This window comes from Homo sapiens, chromosome 19, assembly GCF_000001405.40.
Source record: "Homo sapiens chromosome 19, GRCh38.p14 Primary Assembly".
In the NCBI taxonomy this organism is placed as follows: domain Eukaryota; kingdom Metazoa; phylum Chordata; class Mammalia; order Primates; family Hominidae; genus Homo; species Homo sapiens.
In genome coordinates this window covers 55,870,403-55,889,392 of record NC_000019.10, presented here as the reverse complement: position 1 = coordinate 55,889,392, position 18,990 = coordinate 55,870,403, and the positions used below count along the sequence as shown (strand labels likewise).

Below are 18,990 nucleotides of genomic sequence, written 5' to 3'. Positions count from 1 at the left end.
ATAAGTAGAATAACACCCCAAACCCTTCTCAGTTCCTGAAGACAGCTGCCTTTTTGCTATACTTCACCCTGCTTAGAGTTTATCTATTTAGCTGACGGTACTCCAAACAGCCCCTCAAATTTGTCTAAACATCTTCCATGCTCTGCCTGCCCCTCTCACTTTGTCCTATGCACTTAAAACCACAAGCCTTTTTCCAATGTTCTACGTATTCCACACTTGTATCCAGATAGCTGAACATGCTGAAGGATGTTCAACCCTGCTTAAATTTATGGCTAATCCTAAGAGTTTTCTTACCGTTGCTTATGGTACTGTTGCACATGATACTGTAACATACTGCTTTAACCCGTTCTACTCAACTTCCATTGTCCTCAACAGTTCTCCATTTTCATGCTCAGTTGATTTTACATATTTCTTGAAGAAATAAGAATCCAGATCTTCCACAAGTACCCACTGCCACATCTACCAGCACCTGTACCCTGATAAGACAAAAATAAAGGCTCTGAGGCATAGAAAGTGTCAACCTGAGTTAGCTGCAGGACAAGAGAGGTAAACCCTCTAATACACAAAGGATTGGATGCTATGGGTTGAGACTTAAGATTGCTGCTCAAGGAGACTTGAAATAAATTTTCTCCAGAAAGTAAAAGTCTTCCTTCTCTATTCTGCAGATGTGCAGGACATGGAGGTAGAATGGGACCCTGTTTACAGGAATAATATTCAGGTTAATACAAAACCATCGTAAGGACCACCTCCCTTTCGCTTATTTTATCCATCTGAAATAGTTTTGTTGTTTTCTTTTTTGAGACAGAGTCTCGCTCTGTTGCCAGGCTGGAGTGCAGTGGTGCAATCTTGGCTCACTGCAACCTCCACCTCCCGGGTTCAAGTGATTCTCCTTCCTCAGCCTCCCGAGTAGCTGGGATTACAGGCACACACCACTATGCCCAGCTGATTTTTGTATTATTTTTAGTAGAGATGGGGCTTCACCATGTTGGCCAGGATAGTCTCGATCTCTTGACTTTCTGATCCACCCACCTTGGCCTCCCAAAGTGCTGGGATTACAGGCGTGAGCCACCACGCCCGGCCAAAATAAAGTTTTTCTTAATCAGTTTGGTTGTTAGATGCCAATGATGTGGTCTTCCGTCCTTCCTCCATGAACTCACCACCACTCTGTCCTATCCATTTGCACAGAAATATGGTCTGCCTCCGGCCACAGACTCTGTCTTTACACCCCAGGATAATTCCTTATTTTGTTACTTTTGGGTCAGTCACTTCCCCTCTCTGGACCTAATTACCTCATCTTCAAAATGATGAGGACAGAAATAATTTGTAATTAAATTAGACCCAATTTTGGCTTTCACTTCTGCCTTTGTTAGCTCTGTGGCTGTGTAACACTTCTAAAATGTACTTTACTCACCTGAAAATATAAAACTGTATCCCGCACAGGATATGTGAAATCGATGTGTCATGGATGGAAATCTCTATGAAGAATAAGATCTTATTAAGTTGTAATTTTCTCTCCCCCGCTCTAACACCAAGAGTCTTTCTTGTACTATTTTATTATTCAATAAGCAGACGCTATCAGAAGCAGTCTTACAGAATAGCTGGAGATCCATTTAGCATTTCATAGCTTATAAAACACCTTCCTAGAGGGTCTAAATCCCCATCAAAGCCCTGTAAGATAGGATAGCCTTACTTTACTGATTTAAAAGCAAAGATACCAAAAGAAAATGCTTTACAACAGATTACAGAGATAGTAAGTCAAACTGGCCTATAAATCCAACTTTTCTATTTTAAGATCTGACCCACTTTACAACACCTGATGGGATCTTTCAATAAGTTGAAGGCTATAATCCTTCTATCCATCCATGTTCTCACTATTAGACATAGTAAAACCCAGAGTCCTTGAAATAAATACTTCATTCTCTTCCTTTTTCTATATCTTTACTGCCCTTTGTAGATGAAATCTGGGATAGAAAGAGTGGGAGACGTATGTGAACTAATTTAGAAAATATTGTCAGGGCAATAAAGGTTAAAAATAAAATCAAAGGTTAATTGCCTTAATCTTCATCTCATTGATTCATATTCAGTTACCAGCTATTAAAATGGGCCATATTTTATTTTGAGACAGGGTCTCACTCTGTCACCCAGGCTGGAGTGCAGTGGCACCATCTCGGCTCACTGCAACCTCTGCCTCCCAGGCTCAAGGGATCCTGCCACTTCAGCCTCCCGAGTAGCTGGGACTACAGGTGTGTGCCACCATGTAACTTTTTTTAGTAGAGATGAGGTTTTGCCATGTTGCCCAGGCTGGTCTCAAACTTCTGAGCTCAACCGATCCTCCAGCCTTGGCCTCCCAGAGTGCTGGGATTACAGGCGTGAGCCACCAAACCTGGCCAACCATGTTATTTCTGATAATCTGACAAGATAAATAAAGACTATCCCAAGATTTCTCCATTGTTTCTTTAAAAATAACAGAGATGGGCTGGGCACGGTGGCTCACACCTGTAATCCCAGCACTCTGGGAGGCCGAGGTAGGCAGATCACGAGGTCAGGAGATTGAGACCATCCTGGCCAACATGGTGAAACCCCGTCTCTACTAAAATACAAAAAAAAAATTAGCCAGGTGTGGTGGTGCGCACCTGTAGTCCCACTTACTCAGAAGGCTGAGTCAGAGGAATTGCTTGAACCCGGGAGGTGGAGGTTGCAGTGAGCAGAGATCATGCCACTGCATTCCAGCCTGGTGACAGAGCGAGACTCTGTCTCAGAGAAAAAAAACAACAACAACAAACAAAAAACCAGGGATGGCCTGGCATGGTGGCTCACACCTGTAATCCCAGCACTTCAGGAGGCCGAGGTGGGCAGATCACAAGGTCAAGAGATTGAGACCATCCTGGCCAACATGGTGAAACCCTGTCTCTACTAAAAATATAAAAATTAGCTGGGCATGGTGGCAGGCACCTGTAGTCCCAGCTACTCAGGAGGCTGAGGCAGGAGAATTGCTTGAACCCAGGAGGCAGAGGCTGCAGTGAGCTGAGATCGCGCCACTGTACTCCAGACTGGTGACAGAGCGAGACTTCATCTCAAAAAACAGACAAAAACACAGGGATATCCTCTGTTTAATGCTTGATCCACAAATTCTCAATTACTAAATTTTCAATTTACTAATCAATACTCAAGTCAATCATATTTAGTCTACTCAATTACTAATTTAGGAATTTTTTTTGTTGTTATTCTACAATTTCTAAGTTTGTCCTAGAATTCAATTACATCAAAGTATCTTAAAGCAACATTTTTTTAGAGTAGACAGATGATTTCAAATCCACTGTACAGTCAGGCCAATGTTACTTTGTAGGACTGGGGGGGCCCATAATAGGTCTTGGAGGGGGTTTGGAAGGGGTAATTGGTGATTCAGGAAAAGAGAAGAGATGAGATAGAAGGGATTCCAGTGTACCTTGACTGCTGAACTTTTTTCTAGGCTGCCTCCAAATTATGAAGCCCGTGAACCAAGACAGACCAATTAGCTTGTGACCAATTGTCTAACTTCAAGCCTATACTTATGAGGAAGGTAGACGGATTATTTGTGTCTCCAGCTTCATTTACCTTTCCTCCCTCTCCTTTTACCCACCCTGCTTGCTGTCTTTTTTGACACTCACTTCCTCACCCACCACCTTGCAATTTTTTTTTAAGACAGTCTCGCTCTGTTGCCCAGGCTGGAGCACAATGGTGCAATCTCAGCTCACTGCAACCTCCACCTCCTGGGTTCCAGTGATTCTCCTGCCTCAGCCTCCTCAGTAGCTGGGACTACAGGTGTGTTCCACCGTGTCCGGCTAATTTTTGTATTTTTAGTAGAGACGGGGTTTCACCATGTTGGCCAGGCTGGTCTCGAACTCCTGACCTCATGATCCACCTGCCTCAGCCTCCCAAAATGCTGGGATTACAGGCGTGAGCCACTGCACCCGGCCAACCATGCAATCTTAAAAGCTTGGCTAGATGTGCCCAGGACTAATGTGTGGCTGAGGTGAGTCAAGCTTGGTGCACAGCTCAGGTTATGAGAGACAGAGGTGGTAGAGTGCTGAAACAGCCCAGGAGATCCTTGGACTGAAGAAGAGACAGATGGAATTCCAGGAATAATGAACTTGGGTGGAAAAGGATTCCCAGGGTGAAGGCAGCCAGAGTGACAGCTTCTTAGCTTGGAAGCAGTTACTTGTACCCTTTAGGCCAATTTTCCCATTACAAGAAGGGTCTTATAGCATCAACCTCAGATTTTGCAAGAATTGAAATAACATATAAAATATTCAGCTTGTGGTAAGCACCTGTCAATGTATTAATAGCTCTTGGGTGAATAATCTCCTTCAATTCTGTCATTAAGATTCTTTACTTGTAACTTAGACTTTTTATAGCTTAGTACCTCTTTTTTTGTGATTAAAAAAAAAAAGTTTTTCAGACAGTGCCTTGCTGTGTCACCCAGACTAGAGTGTAGTGGTGTGATCGCGGCTCACTGCGGCCTCAACCTCCCAGGATCAAGTGGTCTTCCTTCCCCAGCCTCCTGAGTAGCTGGGACCACAGGCATGAGTCGCCACGCCCAGATAATTAAAAAATAATAATAATAATAATTCTAGATAGATATAGATAGATAGATAGATAGATAGATAGATAGATAGATAGATAGATAGATAGATAGTAGAGGTAGGGTCTCTCTATGTTGCCCAAGCTGGTCTCTAACTCCTGGGCTCAAGCGATCCTCCTGACTTGGCCTCCCGAGGTGCTGGGATTACAGGCGTAAACCACTGTGCTGGGCAGCTCAGTACCCGTTCTCTATCAGCACTTCCTTCTCCCTCTTTTCTACTGACCTGTATTTTTAGTGGAGGGAAAACCGTTAGGAGAAAAATGTTAATGTTCCTGCTGGGGGTGGAAATGGACATCTCATGAACATAATTAAGGTAGCTGGAGAATAGGTTCTTTGGTTCCTCAAGCTGCTTTTATATTTTATCACGTCTATTGCACCCAGGTGCAATAGATAGTCCTTAATCATTACCACTTTACAGATGACAGACTAAATGACTTCCCAGATTTTCCTGTTTGTTATTTTTCTTTCCACACTTTTTTTGAGATGGAGTTTCACTCCTGTTGCCCAGGCTGGAGTGCAATGGTATGATCTCTGCCTGCTGCAACCTCTGCCTCCTGGGTTCAAGCGATTCTCCTGCCTCAGCCTCCCGAGTAGCTGGGATTCCAGGCATGCACCACCACCACGCCCGGCTAATTTTTTGTATTTTTAATAAAGACAGGATTTTTCCACGTTGGTCAGGCTGGTCTCAAACTCCTGACCTCAGGTGATCCACCTGCCTCGGCCTCCCAAAGTGCTGGGAATACAGGCATGAGCCACTGCACCCAGCCTCCCCACTTTCTTTTTATTGTGGTAAAACATGCGTAACAAAATTTTACCATTTTAACCCATTTAAAGTGTACATCCCTGTGGCCTTGAGCACACTCACATTTTACAACCATCACCACCATCCATCTCCAGAACTTTTCCATCTTGCAAAACAAACTCTATGCTCATTAAATAACTCCATCTTCTCCTCCTTCCCCTGGCCTCTGGTAGCCAACATTTTACTTTTTGCCTCTATGAATTTGGCTACTGTAAGTACCTCATAGAAGGAGAATGTACGGTATTTGCTCTTTTGTGACTGGCTTATTTCATTTAGCATAATATCCTCAAGGTTCATCTATGTTGTGTCATATATCAGCATGTCCTTCCTTTTGAAGACTCAGTATTTCATTTTATTTATATGCCACATTTTGTTTATCCATTCACCCATTGATGGACATTCAGGTTGCTGATTTTCTCAATCTTCACTCCTAAATCAGTGGCACAGAAGTTCAGAAGTGAGGCCGGGCACGGTGGCTCACGCCTGTAATTGCAGCACTTTGGGAGGCCAAGGAGGACAGATCATGAGGTCAGGAGTTCTAGACCAGCCTGACCAACATGGTGAAACCCCGTCTCTACTAAAAATAGTAAAATTAGCCATGTGTGGTGGCACGCGCCTGTAATCCCAGCTACTCGGGAGGCTGAGGCAGGAGAATTGCTTGAACCCGGGAGGTGGAGGGTGCAGTGGGCAAAGATCGCACCACTGCAATCTAGCCTGGGTGACAGAGCGAGGATCTGTCTCCAAAAAAAAAAAAAAAAAAATTCAGAAGTGAAATACCCCCATTCCTAAAATTTCCTTTCAGCTCCCACTCCCAAGAGATCTTTATTCAAAGGTAGGGGAGACAGGGTAGCCTCAGAACTCAAGAGGCCCAATGAGGAAAGGAGAGCCAGAGGGGAGTTTGGGGAAGAATATGAGAGGCAAAGACCGTGAGGAGAGGTAATATTAGCAATGCCATGGAAATTACCCAAACATTCACATGAACCCCAAAATATATACCACTATTATGTACCAATAAAAAAGGTGCTTTCATCAGGCAAGAACAGATCAGGAGCCCAACCTGGAATCCTAGTAGGACTGGCAGAAAGAAGGGTGCCCAAGTCAGACCAGCCTTTCTAGTGCTTTCAGTGTGGCCAGCGTCTTTCCAAGTCAACACGGGGAGGGGGCCACAGTTTCTTCAACCTGCACTCCTATTCCAGTCATTCATCAGTAGCAAACACTGTTTCAAGATTTTCCAGGCAGTATGGAGATTTCCCAAAGAACTAAACATAGAGCTACCATTTTGTCCGGCAACCTCACTACCGAGTTCTATCCAAAGCAAGAGAAATCATACTAAAAAGATACCTGCATCCATGTGTTTACTGGAGCACTCTCCACAATAGCAAAGTCATGGGATCAACATAAGTGTCCACCAGCAGATGAGTGGATCAAGAAAACATGATTTATAGACAGTGGAATCCTATTCAGCCATAAAAAGAATAAAATCATGTCTTTTGCAGCAACATGGATGGAACTCAAGCCATGATCTTAAGTGAGATAACTCAGAAACTAAGTCAAATAATGCATGTTCTTACTTGTATGTGAGAGCTAAATAATATATAAAGAGTGGCTGGATGCAGTGGCTCACGCCTGTAATCCCACCACTGTGAAAGGCTGAGGCAGGTGGATCACCTGAGGTCGGGAGTTCAAGACCAGCCTGACCAACATGGAGAAACCCCATCTCTACTTAAAAAAAAAAAAAAAAAAATACAAAATTAGCCAGGCGTGGTGGTGCATGCCTGTAATCCCAGCTACTCAGGAGGCTGAGGCAGGAGAAATCGCTTGAACCCAGGAGGCGGAGGTTGTGGTGAGCCGCGATTGCACCATTGCACTCCAGCCTGGGCAACAAGAGCGAAAATCTATCTCAAAAAAAAAAAAAAAGTGTGGAATAGTAGACATTGGAGGCTCAGGAGGGTGAGAGGGAGGTGCAGGGTGAGAACTGACCTAATGGGTACAATGTACACTATCTGTGTGATAGGTATACTAAAAGCCCAGATTTTCCCACACAATATATACATGTAACAAAACCATACTCGTACCCCTTAAATTTATACAAATAAAAAAAGGCAAAAAAAGAATTTCCAATGTTTAGAAATGTAACACTTTATTGAGGGGTTAAGAGGTCCTTGTGAGACCGAGAGACCATGAAGGCCTTTCAGTGACTCATCCAAGGCCACAGAGCACATAAAAACCACGTGTATCATATCAAATCTATGAATGGGGTGCCAGAAATCTCACAACTCAGAGTATCAATGATTTGTATCTCCTGGGTGCAGTGTCATGTAAGTAACGGTCCCAGTCCCTGTCCTTTGCAGGTGTTCGAGTCAGAGCCCAGGTTCCTCGCAATCAGATCTCTACCCTTGTGATTGTGTCACAGTCGTCTGTGATGGTCAGGTTAGGATTTCTCTCTTCCTCAGCCGTCAGAAGTGCCTGGGTTTCCTCATCAAAATCAGTTTTTCTCAGCCTGGTAAAATATTTTAAGAGGTTCTATTTTTAATTCACATACTTTTTCCCTTTTCTGCAGCTCATCTTTCTCCCTAATTCATCCCAGGACAAGCCTAGGAAACCCTGGTGTTACCTCCAAGAGGAAAGACATACACATCAAATGCAGCGGTATGCTGATAAATGTTACCCCTGGATCCCCAGAAAATAAATAAAGTCCCAATTTATAGCTTTGCCAATTTCTGTGGTGTAAATTCTCCAAGGCAATCATGGCCAATTTTGAGCTGCCCACTTGCTGTCACTAAACAGAGTTACAAAGACAGGTACACACACACACACACACACACACACACACGTGGCTCTCACCAGCTTGTAGGAGCTGGCTCCAATATGTCACTGGACATAAATAAATGTCCAGAATTGGTAATAGAAGGCATGAACTCCACACAAACATTTGGATTTGCAACAAGAAGTCAGTGGGAGTTAGGGAGAAAGACTGAAGCTATTTTTACTTTTTCAAAGATAAAGTTAATAGTTTCCATTATCCGAGTACCTGGGCCCTGGCCCTCTGCTAAGGCTTTTTACATGCCTATCTCATTAAATGTTCACAACTGCCTTATGAGGTAGCATAATTGTCCCGACTTGTGATGAAGACAATGAGAACAATGTTAAGGTCACAAAACCAGAAAGTGGTAGTCTGGATACAAATTCAAGCAATTTGTTTCTGGAGCCCCCATACGTTGTATCATTGCTTTGAATCAGAAGGATTAAGTATCACCGTGTCTTGGTCCTTCCTTTTACGTATAATATCTCTCATCTCCATTTGGCATCTGTTTGCGTGCAACTGTCCCACACTGTTGGGGTAAGCTATGTTCTTTAGCACAACTATGTATCTTAATACACATCTTTGTGAGACTATCTATGGTAGGGGCTGGAGGAAGATGAAAACTCACTTATTTAGTTCTGCCATAGTTATCACATTATCTGATGCATACTTTCATAATTACCATGCCAAATAATCATCCCTATTTTGTAGATAGGAGGCTGATAATCAAAGAGGACAAATGCCTTACCCTGGCTTACAGGGCCAAACATGGCAAGGCTAGGAGACAAACACAGACCTCCGTGACTCAGAATGCAGACAATTTGAGTCCTTCCCCTTAATCACGTGTCTACTTTGGTAGTCTACATTCTGAATCTTTAGCAAACATTAAAATGAGAAAGAAACAATGCCAAGCACTCAGCCTTTCCAGGTGGAGATTTATAAGGATGGACTTCAAGAAAACAAACCTGTATCTTCACAAAATGGAAAAAAAAAAATCAGTGAATGTTCTTTAGCGTTAGAGTTATAACAGTTTTAACCCATTATATTTCCCTTTTCTGGAAATGAACAGCCTAATAACTGCCTATGATTACCTTCATCTCATATTGGTTTGAAAACAGTAGGGGAAAATGAATGAGAAAAATGTTAAGGACTCTATAGTTATCTAGTAAAATAATGTTTGTGGGATTATATGTAATTATAAATATAACAAATTAAAATATAAATTATGTTTATATAAGTTTCTATTTATAAATGTTATACTTATGAATATACATATAACTTGTATTTACACATAAATATTTAAAATATAAACATGTATCATAATTTGTATTATAATAATAAGTGATATAGGAGGTAAAAAATTATTTAGGCAGATAGTGAGGGCAAAAGTCCTCAGCAGAGCTTCCCTTCTAACAAAAACCAGCCCAAGAAATCATTTCTTTTCTAACAAAGAGCATCCTGAAAAACTGAGCTGCAAACATAAATAAGGGAGCGCGAAGATTGCATGGGGGGAATGCCAGCAGCTGCGCCAGTGAAAAGAGCTACCTGGGGGCCAGGCCTGTTCACCATGGAAGCACCATCTTCCCTTTTTTATTAGCATGGGTACAGTAAGAAAGAAATGGGCAACATAGTGCAGCTCAGGCAGAGAACCTGCCTGCTTAATAAAAGACTGGGGTGGGGGCTGCCAGAAATTCACACCCTATGCAAACGGCACACCTGGTCCTAACCAGTTTTTCATGCCCTATGTAGATCAGACACCACACCTCCCACCAGCTCGTCTATAAAACCCTCTGCATTTCACCATGGATCGGGCAATCCATTTTTCCGAGACCCCTCTCTGTAGCAGACAGCTCTTCTTTCTTTTGCCTATTAAACTTCTGCTCTTAACCTCACTCTTTGTGTATCTGCGTCCTTGGATCTCTGCGTCCTTGGATCTCCACGGCCCTGGGACAATGAACCTCGGGTGTTACCCCAGACAATGAGGCCACTTCACAAGTGTTTCCATTTGTTGGACATTCACTGTTCACCACTTACTGTGGTAAGAGTTTTATACTCACCTGCTTGGTTCTTACTCCTGCAACAACCCTGAGACAAGGAACATCATTTGCATTTTAAATGCAACGTGATTACACTGCAGGTCCCAGCCAATCCCTTCTTAGCCCGGAGCACTCTGCCCATAGAGCACAACAGACCCCAGCTCACCCGAGCACCTGCAGGGCACACTCTGGGTGTCTCAGGGCCTCACAGAGTACAACCACCCCTGTGTGGTCCAAGGTGTTCAAGGTCAGGTTGAGCTGCTGCAGGGTCTTACTGCAGGTGAGAACAGACGCGAGATCCTTACAGCAGGTGCTCGTTAACCCACATTCTTCCAACCTGCAATAAAAAGACACATGGTAAGATGCGGCCCCAGCCTCAGGGTGGAGGTAGGATGGGATGTGAGCTAGACGTCTAGTTGAGGCACACCCCATTGCCTCAAGTGCAATCTCTCACAGTCCAGTGTTTACGACCTCAGATCACGCGTCTGTGGGTAGGTGGTAAAAGTAGCCATAAGTGTCCATTCTTCTCTGTATCCCTGCCCACAGCAATGTGACTTTGCAGCTCATTCCACTAACAGAGTCTATTTCCGGCTTCATACCTTGCTTTGGATAATATAACATATTATCCAAAAAAAGGTATGAAGCCGTCTCAGATAACAATGGAAGCAAGATTAGGAGAGTTCTGAGCCACCATTTTGGGTGTTTTTCTTCTTTGGAGATGGGGTCTCTGTCATCCTGGCTGAAGTGCAGCAGCATGACCATGGCTCACTGCAGCCTTGACCTGCTGGGTTCTAGCAATTTTCCTGCCTCAGCCTCCTGAGTAGCTGGGACTACAGGCATGCACCACGCCTGCGGGCTAATTTTTGTGGAGATGGGGTTTCTGTCATCCCGGCTGAAGTGCAGTGGCATGATCATGGCTCATTGCAGCCTTGACCTCCTGGGTTCTAGCAATTTTCCTTCCTCAGCCTCCTGAGTAACTGGGGCTACAGGCATGCACCACGCCTGGCTAATTTTTATGGAGATGGGGTTTTACCATGTTGCCCAGCCTGTTCTTGAACTCCTAGCCTCAAGCTATTGGCTTGCCTCAGGCTCCTTTAGTGCTGGGACTGCAGGACTAAGCTATCACACCTGGTGATCTTGGATGTTTTCTATACTTCATCTCTTGAACTCCTGAGATGCTGCTATGGGCTCATTTCTGTCCCTGCCAAAATTTATACGTTGAAGTCCTAAACCCCAGTACCCCAAAATGTGATCATATTTGGATACAAGGTCTTTATAGAGGCAATTAAGCTAAAATGAGGACACTGGGGGGATTCTAATCATATGACTGGTGTTCTTATAAGAGGAAATTTAGACACACACACACAGAGGGAAGAGAACATGAAGACACAGGGAGAAGACAGATGGTTATCGACAAGACAAGAAGGGCCTGAAGCAGATTCTCCCTCATGGCCTTCAGAAGGAGCCAACTCTGCTGACACTTTGATCTCAGACTTTCAGCCTCCATAACCGTGAAGTGATAAATTCATTACCTAAGCCACCCAGTCCATGCTACTTTTTAAACCCTGGCAAACTGATACAGATGCCATGTCAATGAGCCCAGGCCAACCAGTTAGATAATGAGACGTGGCCCAGTTACACCTGTCATCCCCAAGGGGACAGCCAACCCAGCCAGCCAACCTCCATACCATATAGCAAGGTCAACCCAAACCAGCCAATCCCTCAGTTAACCACAGCTTCCTAAGCACACCTGGCTGAGGTCAGTGACGCCTGCCCAGACAAGCAGAGCCAGCAGCAATCTAACTTCTCATTGCCTTAAGCCCTGAAGTTTTACACTGGTTCATGATGCAACCACAGCTAGCTGCTATGTGGTCCTGTTGGAGTTTTCATCTTTCTCTTTCTTCCCATCCATTTTCCGTCTTTGCCACTCATGAAAACATAACCAGGAGCTTGGCGATACCCACCCAAGAATCTCTAAGCGGCAATCCGTATGCGTCAGAGCCCGACACAACAGCTGCACACCCACATCTCCGATTTCATTGCACCCAATTTGCAGAATCTTCAGGTTTTGATTGCTGATGAGAGCAGAGGCGAGGTCTTCACAGCCAGCAGCAGTGATAAAACATTTTACCAAACTGCAAAGGAGTAAGGGTACCATGCTTAAAGGCTATTACACCTCAGTCTAATATCAGGAAAAGAGACACCAAAGCACGACAGCCTTTGTCATTCATGTGGATAGGCACCGTCAGTCCTCCATATCCACAGATTCAACTAGTGGCAGATTGAAATTATTGAAGAATTAAAACAATAACACATAACACGCAACACTAAAAAATACAAACGAAAAAACCAATAGAGTATAACAACTGTTCACACAACATTTACATTGTATTACATATCACAGTAACTTAGAGATGATTTACAGTATTATGGGAAGATGCCTGTACATTATATGCAAACACTATATAGGCCAGATGCGGTGGCTCATGCGTGTAATCCCAGCAGTTCGGGAGGCTGAGGTGGGTGGATCACCTGAGGTCAGAAGTTCCAGACCAGCCTGGCCAAAATGGTGAAACCCTCATCTCTACTAAAAAAAACACAAAAAATACAAAAAATTAGCCGGGCATGGCGATGCGTGCCTGTAGTCCCAGCTACCCAGGAGGTTGAGGCACAAGAATCACTTGAACTCGGGAAGCAGAGATTGCAGTGAGCTGAGATCGCACCACTGCACTCCAGCCTGGGCGACAAAGTGAGAGACTGTCTCAAAACACACACTATGCCATTTTACATTAGGAACTTGAGCATCTACAGATTTTGGACTCCTCAGGGGAAATCTGTAGCCAACCTCCTATGGATATGGAGGGACAACTGAATTGTCTCAGCATCGTTTGTTGGAGGTCTATCCTCTCTCTGCACCAGTGATACGCTATTCCATGATGCGACATCTGAACACACGTGGATCAGTCTGTTTCTGAGATCTCTATTCTGTGTCTCTGGTCTGTCTGCTTATCCCTGTGTGAATCTCATGCTTTTTTAATTTCTAAAACTTTAGATGACACATTTAGAGCAAGAGTTCCTACATTATTTTTATTTGAGACGGAGTTTCACTCCTGTTGTCCAGGCTGGAATGCAACGGCACAATCTCAGCTCACTGCAACCTCTGCCTCACGGGTTCAGGTGATTCTCCTGCCTCAGCCTCCTGAGTAGCTGGTATTACAGGCATCCACCATCATACCCAGCTAATTCTGTATTTTTTTTTTTTTCAGTAGAGACGGGGTTTCACTATGTTGGTCAAGCTGGTCTTGAACTCCTGACCTCAGGTGATCCACCCACCTGAGCCTCCCAAAGTGCTGAGATTACAGGCGTGAGCCACCGCGCCTGGCCCACTTTTTATATTTTAGGTGTTTCTTAGGTATTCTTGGCCTCTTGCAAGTTCCATACACATTTTAAAATTTACTTTTCAAGTTCAACTCAATCACCAAACAAAAACATCGCATTTTCACTGGGATTTCATGAAAGCAAATGAATTCAACTTACAGAAAACTGACTTTTTAGATACTGAATATTTCAATCTTTGAATATAACATTGTTTTATACCATAATTTGATCATATTCTCTATAAAAGTCTCACATATATCACAGTAGCTATTTCTAGGTAATTTCTTTTTTATGTTACTGTAAAAGGTACTTTTATTTAATTCCACTAGCTTATTACTTCTTGTTGGTATATCAGTAACTGTTTTTGATATATTGTTTCAAGCAAGCTTGTTAGACTAATTCTGATAACTTAGCTACAGATTTTCTTGGATTTTTCTATGTACATTCAAATCATCTGTATAGAATTAGGTGTTTCTTCAAAGATTACAGGTTTAGTGTTTTTCTTACCTTGAAGCATTTGCTAAGATTTTCAGGACACTGTTGACTAGAAGTGATTATAGCCACCGTTCTTATCTTTTTCATGATATTGAAGAGAAAGCTTTTCTCTCATCATTAGACAAATGTTTGCTTTAGATTTTTTTGAACATATTCTTTAGATCATCAAGGAAGTTCCCAAATAGTTTTTCAAGAATTGTATGTCTTAATTCAAACTTTTCTGCATTTTAGATCATGATTTTTATTTTTAACCAGTAAAGTGATTTACATTGATTTTTTTACTAATCTTTTTAATGTTAAAGCAACTTTACATTTTGGGGATAAGCCCAACTTAGTCATTATGTTTATTCTTTTAATACATTTATGGATTCTGCTTGCTAATATTCTGTTCAGTGTTTTTGCATTTCATGAATGACACTAGCCTTTAATTCTGCTTTCTTACAAAAATTGTAAGGATTATATTACAACCAATAAAATTCTTATTGGTTTCTGGCATCAAGATTATGCTAGCCACAAAAAATGGTGGGGAGTTTCTCCTCTTCTGATCCTGAAAAAGCTGATGTAAGAGTGGAATTATTTATTCTTTGAATGTCTGGTAAGAATCACCAATGAAGGCTTCTAAGCCTGGAATTTTCTATATAAAAAGATTTGACTGATTCATTTTTCTTTTGTCTTGAGTACATTTAGGTTCTATCATTTTAGAAGCTTATTGAGTCTTGAAAATATCTAAATTTTCAAGTTTATTGTGTAAAGTTGCTCATATGTAATCTTTTTAATATCTGTAGCATCTGTAGTAATGTTTCTTTTCCCATTCTTGACATAGACCTGCACTCTTCAGTGTGATAGCCAGCCACGTGTGACCACTGAGCACTTGGAATGTAGCTTGTCTGAATCTAGATGTGCCATAGTATAAAATACATAGTGAACCTTAGAGAGTTAATACAAAAAAGTAAAATCTCTCATTAGTAATTTTTTGTACTGATTACATATTGAAGTGATGTTTGATATATGGCTAAATAAACTATATTATTAAAATTAGTTTCAAATATTTACTTATAAAATTACTTTCAAATATTACATCACTTTTAATATGGCTACTTGAAAATTTAATATTACATGTGTGGCTTGCATTATATTCTATAGGATGGCATTAACAAAAACTGTTTTTTCCAAGAACCACCCTGCAGGTTTCTGATCTTTTCCATTGTGATTTTTGTTTCATTAGTTTCTGTCCTTATTTTTATTTCCTTCCATCCTTTAGGGGGTTTATTTTACCATTAAAAAAATCCTTAAGTTCATTATTCTTTAGATTCCTTTTAAAATATATACATGCACTACAGCTCCATCTGAGTTTGTTGCAAAGTATATTCCTTTTTCATTTCAACATATGTTCTAATTTCCATTATGATTTCTCTTAGATTCCTGGACTCTATATGGGAAGTAATTATGTTCACCTTGTAAGATTTAAAGTTCAACTGAGTAGGAAGATAATTTAAAAATTAGCATGAACCGAATAATACTTTGTCTTAAATTCTATTTTGTCTGATTCATACAGTTGCGTAAGCTTCCTTTTAATATTTGCGTGGTCTTTTTTTCTATCCTTTCATTTTCATCATTTTATTGAGGTAAAATTTACTTAAGATTAACTATATTAAAGTGAACAGTTCAGTGGCACTTACTACAGTTCACAATGTTGTACAACCACAACCTCACGTTTTAATAAGTAACTTATAAACATTAGTTACGTTTTAATATGGCAATCTTTTAGCTGAAACATTTAATCTGTTCGTTTAATTACTAGCATATTTGAATTCAAATATATATCTTGTTTCATATTTTCTTACCTGTTCAATTTTTGTTTCCTTGTTCTTTTTTGGATCGGGAATTTTTTAATCATTCTGTCTCCTCTTTTCTGCTAATTTGAGTATTCACCTTAATTTACCCCTTTATATTTTGTTATGGCTGTTGTATATTTTTTCCATTAAATCTTCAAGATGGTATTATTTTTATACACAATCCACATTTTGTTTAGATTTATCCAGAGATCTACCCCTCTCTTTGCTCTATCTCTCTTCCATCTGGAATGATTTACTTCTGTCTAAGGAACAGTCTTTAGAATTACTTTTAGGAAGGATCTGGTGGTAAGAAACTTGGTATTTATTTGAAAATGTGTTTTTATCCTCATTCTTGATAGTTTTTGGTGGCTATAGAATTCTAGGTTGACAATCCACCCTCCCGTCTCCCCGCCATACTGAATATCTCACTGTACTGCCCTCTGGTTTCCACTATTACTCTTCACCCAAGTCTGTCTCCTTTCTTGTAGATATCACTTTCCCCCGCCCCAAGCTCCCAGCCCCTTGTTAAATCTTTACAGACCAACATCTTTATATCTGGTGTTCTGCAGTTTCTCCACTATTTATCCTGTTAAGCGCTTATTTGGATGCTTGAATCTGAATTGGAATCTTTCATTGGTTACAGAAAAATTTCAGTCTTCTTAAAATATTTTCTCTTTCCGCGATTCCCAGTAAGTGTGTTAGAACATCTTAATCATCTAAGTCTTATACCCTCTTCTATGATTTACCTATTTTTCTGTTTTCATGCTGCTTTCTAGGTAATTGTAACCTATCTTCCATTTTACTAATTTTTTCTTTAATTATGTCTAATCTACTATTCACCCCATATAGTCAGTTATTATATTTATAATTTCTAGTTGTATTATTTGCTCATTTCATCTCCTTTTCCCTAAGATTCAAACTTGTTATTTTTCTGTAAACATAGTAAGTATAATAGCTTTATAGATAATTAGATAGTTTGGTAGCTGTTTGTATTTTGACTTGTCCTTGGCTCAATGAGCTTTATTTCCTTGTGGGTTGGGTTATTTTAACTGTGTGGTATTTACTGACCTTAAAAAATCCTTTTAGGAATAAGCTGAGGTCAAGGATCATGTCATCCTATTACCTACCTCCTGAGACAATTTGCTCTTGTTTCTTTCAGGCATCTGTTCAGTACTAGTTTAAGGTTATGTTGTGTTTTTTTAATACGTCTTAAGGAGTTTTGGATAGCCTTAAGTGCTATCTACTTAGCCTGCTACTTAAGAATATTTCTGTTTGGGCTGGGCACGGTGGCTCATGCCTGTAATCCCAGCACTTTGGGAGGCCGAGGCGGGCGGATCACGAGATCAGGAGATTGAGACCATCCTGGCTAGCACAGTGAAACCCCGTCTCTACTAAAAATACAAAAAAATTAGCCAGGCGTGGTGGCGGGCACCTGTAGTCCCAGCTACTTGGGAGGCTGAGACGAGAATGGCGTGAACCCGGGAGGCAGCACTTGCAGTGAGCCGAGATTGTGCCACTGTACTTCAGCGTGGGCTGACAGAGCGAGACTCTTCTGTCTCCAAAAAAAAAAAAAAAAGATTATTTCTGTTTAGCTTCTAGATGCTTTTAAATTTTTTCTTAATATTGTATCTGATGTTTTTGGTGTCTTTCAGTGCCAACGATTGGCCCAGATAGCCTAACGCACTACTGGGAGAGAAAGAATGCATCTGGTGTTTTTGTTATGTTATTTAACATACTCTTCAAGTGAGGAATACAAAATCCTAAACTGATTTCCTAATGGATTAGGTAAAAATCACGCTGCCAGATTTCAGAAGCCTCTGTATTTTTCAGGGAAAATACATAACAACATGTTATCCTAACTGGTAATTCTAAAAACACTGCCACCGCCGCTACAGGGGTTACCCAGATATTTCTCTATTTGATAACATGAAATTAAGTCTTTTCACCATCTCCTTTCTGGCTCATCTCATGCTACCCTTTGTCTTCTTCTAAAGCATTCTCTGTTACACACATTAATTCTCACGTGTATTTTTGGATCTCCCACCTTCACGTTTTACCCTTCTACCTGGAATTTTGGCTTTATTTTTGCACCTGATGAAGTGCATTCATTTTGTAGAACACACACCAAATATCATCTTCGCCATGAAATTGCCCCTCAGGTCCCGACCTAATTCCGGCTCTCTCAGTCCTCTACCTATATGCCACTGGAGAACTCTTTGCAACATATTAAATCCATGCCACAGAAGTCAGGGTGCTGATTTGTTTACATGAACGTCTCGACAAGAATCTGAAGCAAGTATTTTTTAAACCTTCACATGCCCAGGCACAGACACTACAGCCTTCCTCAATTCCAGATGCCCCATTCTCAGCAGTGCATGCCCTTGAAAAGACGGCTTGGTCTTCAAAGAAACAGCAAAAAGCCTACCACAGTGAATCCAGGCAGCAGTCCGGATGTTTCAAGGCCTCGCAGAGAGTTTTCAGTCCTTCGTCCTTCAGGACATTGGCACTGAGGTCTAGATAGCGCACGCTCTTGTTACGCAGAAGCATTTCAGAGATGTATTCGCAGCACTGCTCGCTGAGGTGGCAGAAAGCCAACCTATGGGGACAAAAACACGAGAAGGAGAGTGAAGAGGGACGTGGTGTCTCAGGGAGATTTGCTTAATTTCACATTCAGGGTAATATTTCTATAATCTTACAAACTCCCCAGCTGAGATGAAGTTCTGGATTATCTGAAAACACCTCCTCTCATTTATTCTTTTGAGATGGAGTTTTGCTGTCGTCGCCCGGGCTGGAATGCAACGGCGCGATCTTGGCTCACTGCAACCTCCACCTCCCAGGTTCAAGTGATTCTCTTGCCTTAGCCTCCCAAGTAGCTGAGATTACAGGCACCCACAACCACATCTCGCTAATTTTTGCATTTTTAGTAGAGACGGGGTTTCACCATGTTAGCCAGGCTAGTCTCGAACTCCGGACCTCAGGTGATCTGCCCACCTCGGCCTCCCAAAGTGCTGGGATTACAA

The 18,990-nt window shown here is 41.6% G+C and overlaps 1 protein-coding gene across 3 annotated transcripts in view; it reads right to left on the bottom strand.

The window, feature by feature from the left end:
* Positions 7,538-18,990, bottom strand: part of NLRP4 (NLR family pyrin domain containing 4) — a 45,316-nt gene continuing 33,863 nt past the window's right edge. For 2 of the 3 annotated variants that reach the window (NM_134444.5, XM_017026344.1), the window contains 4 exons: positions 18,396-18,566; positions 12,227-12,397; positions 10,429-10,599; positions 7,538-7,923 (listed from right to left, as the gene is read on the bottom strand). In NM_134444.5, the coding sequence (NP_604393.2) occupies positions 7,806-7,923; positions 10,429-10,599; positions 12,227-12,397; positions 18,396-18,566 (631 nt within the window). In that variant the 3' untranslated portion in view covers positions 7,538-7,805. The remainder of the gene's footprint in view (positions 7,924-10,428; positions 10,600-12,226; positions 12,398-18,395; positions 18,567-18,990) is intronic. The other variant, XM_017026345.1, reaches the window with a different exon arrangement.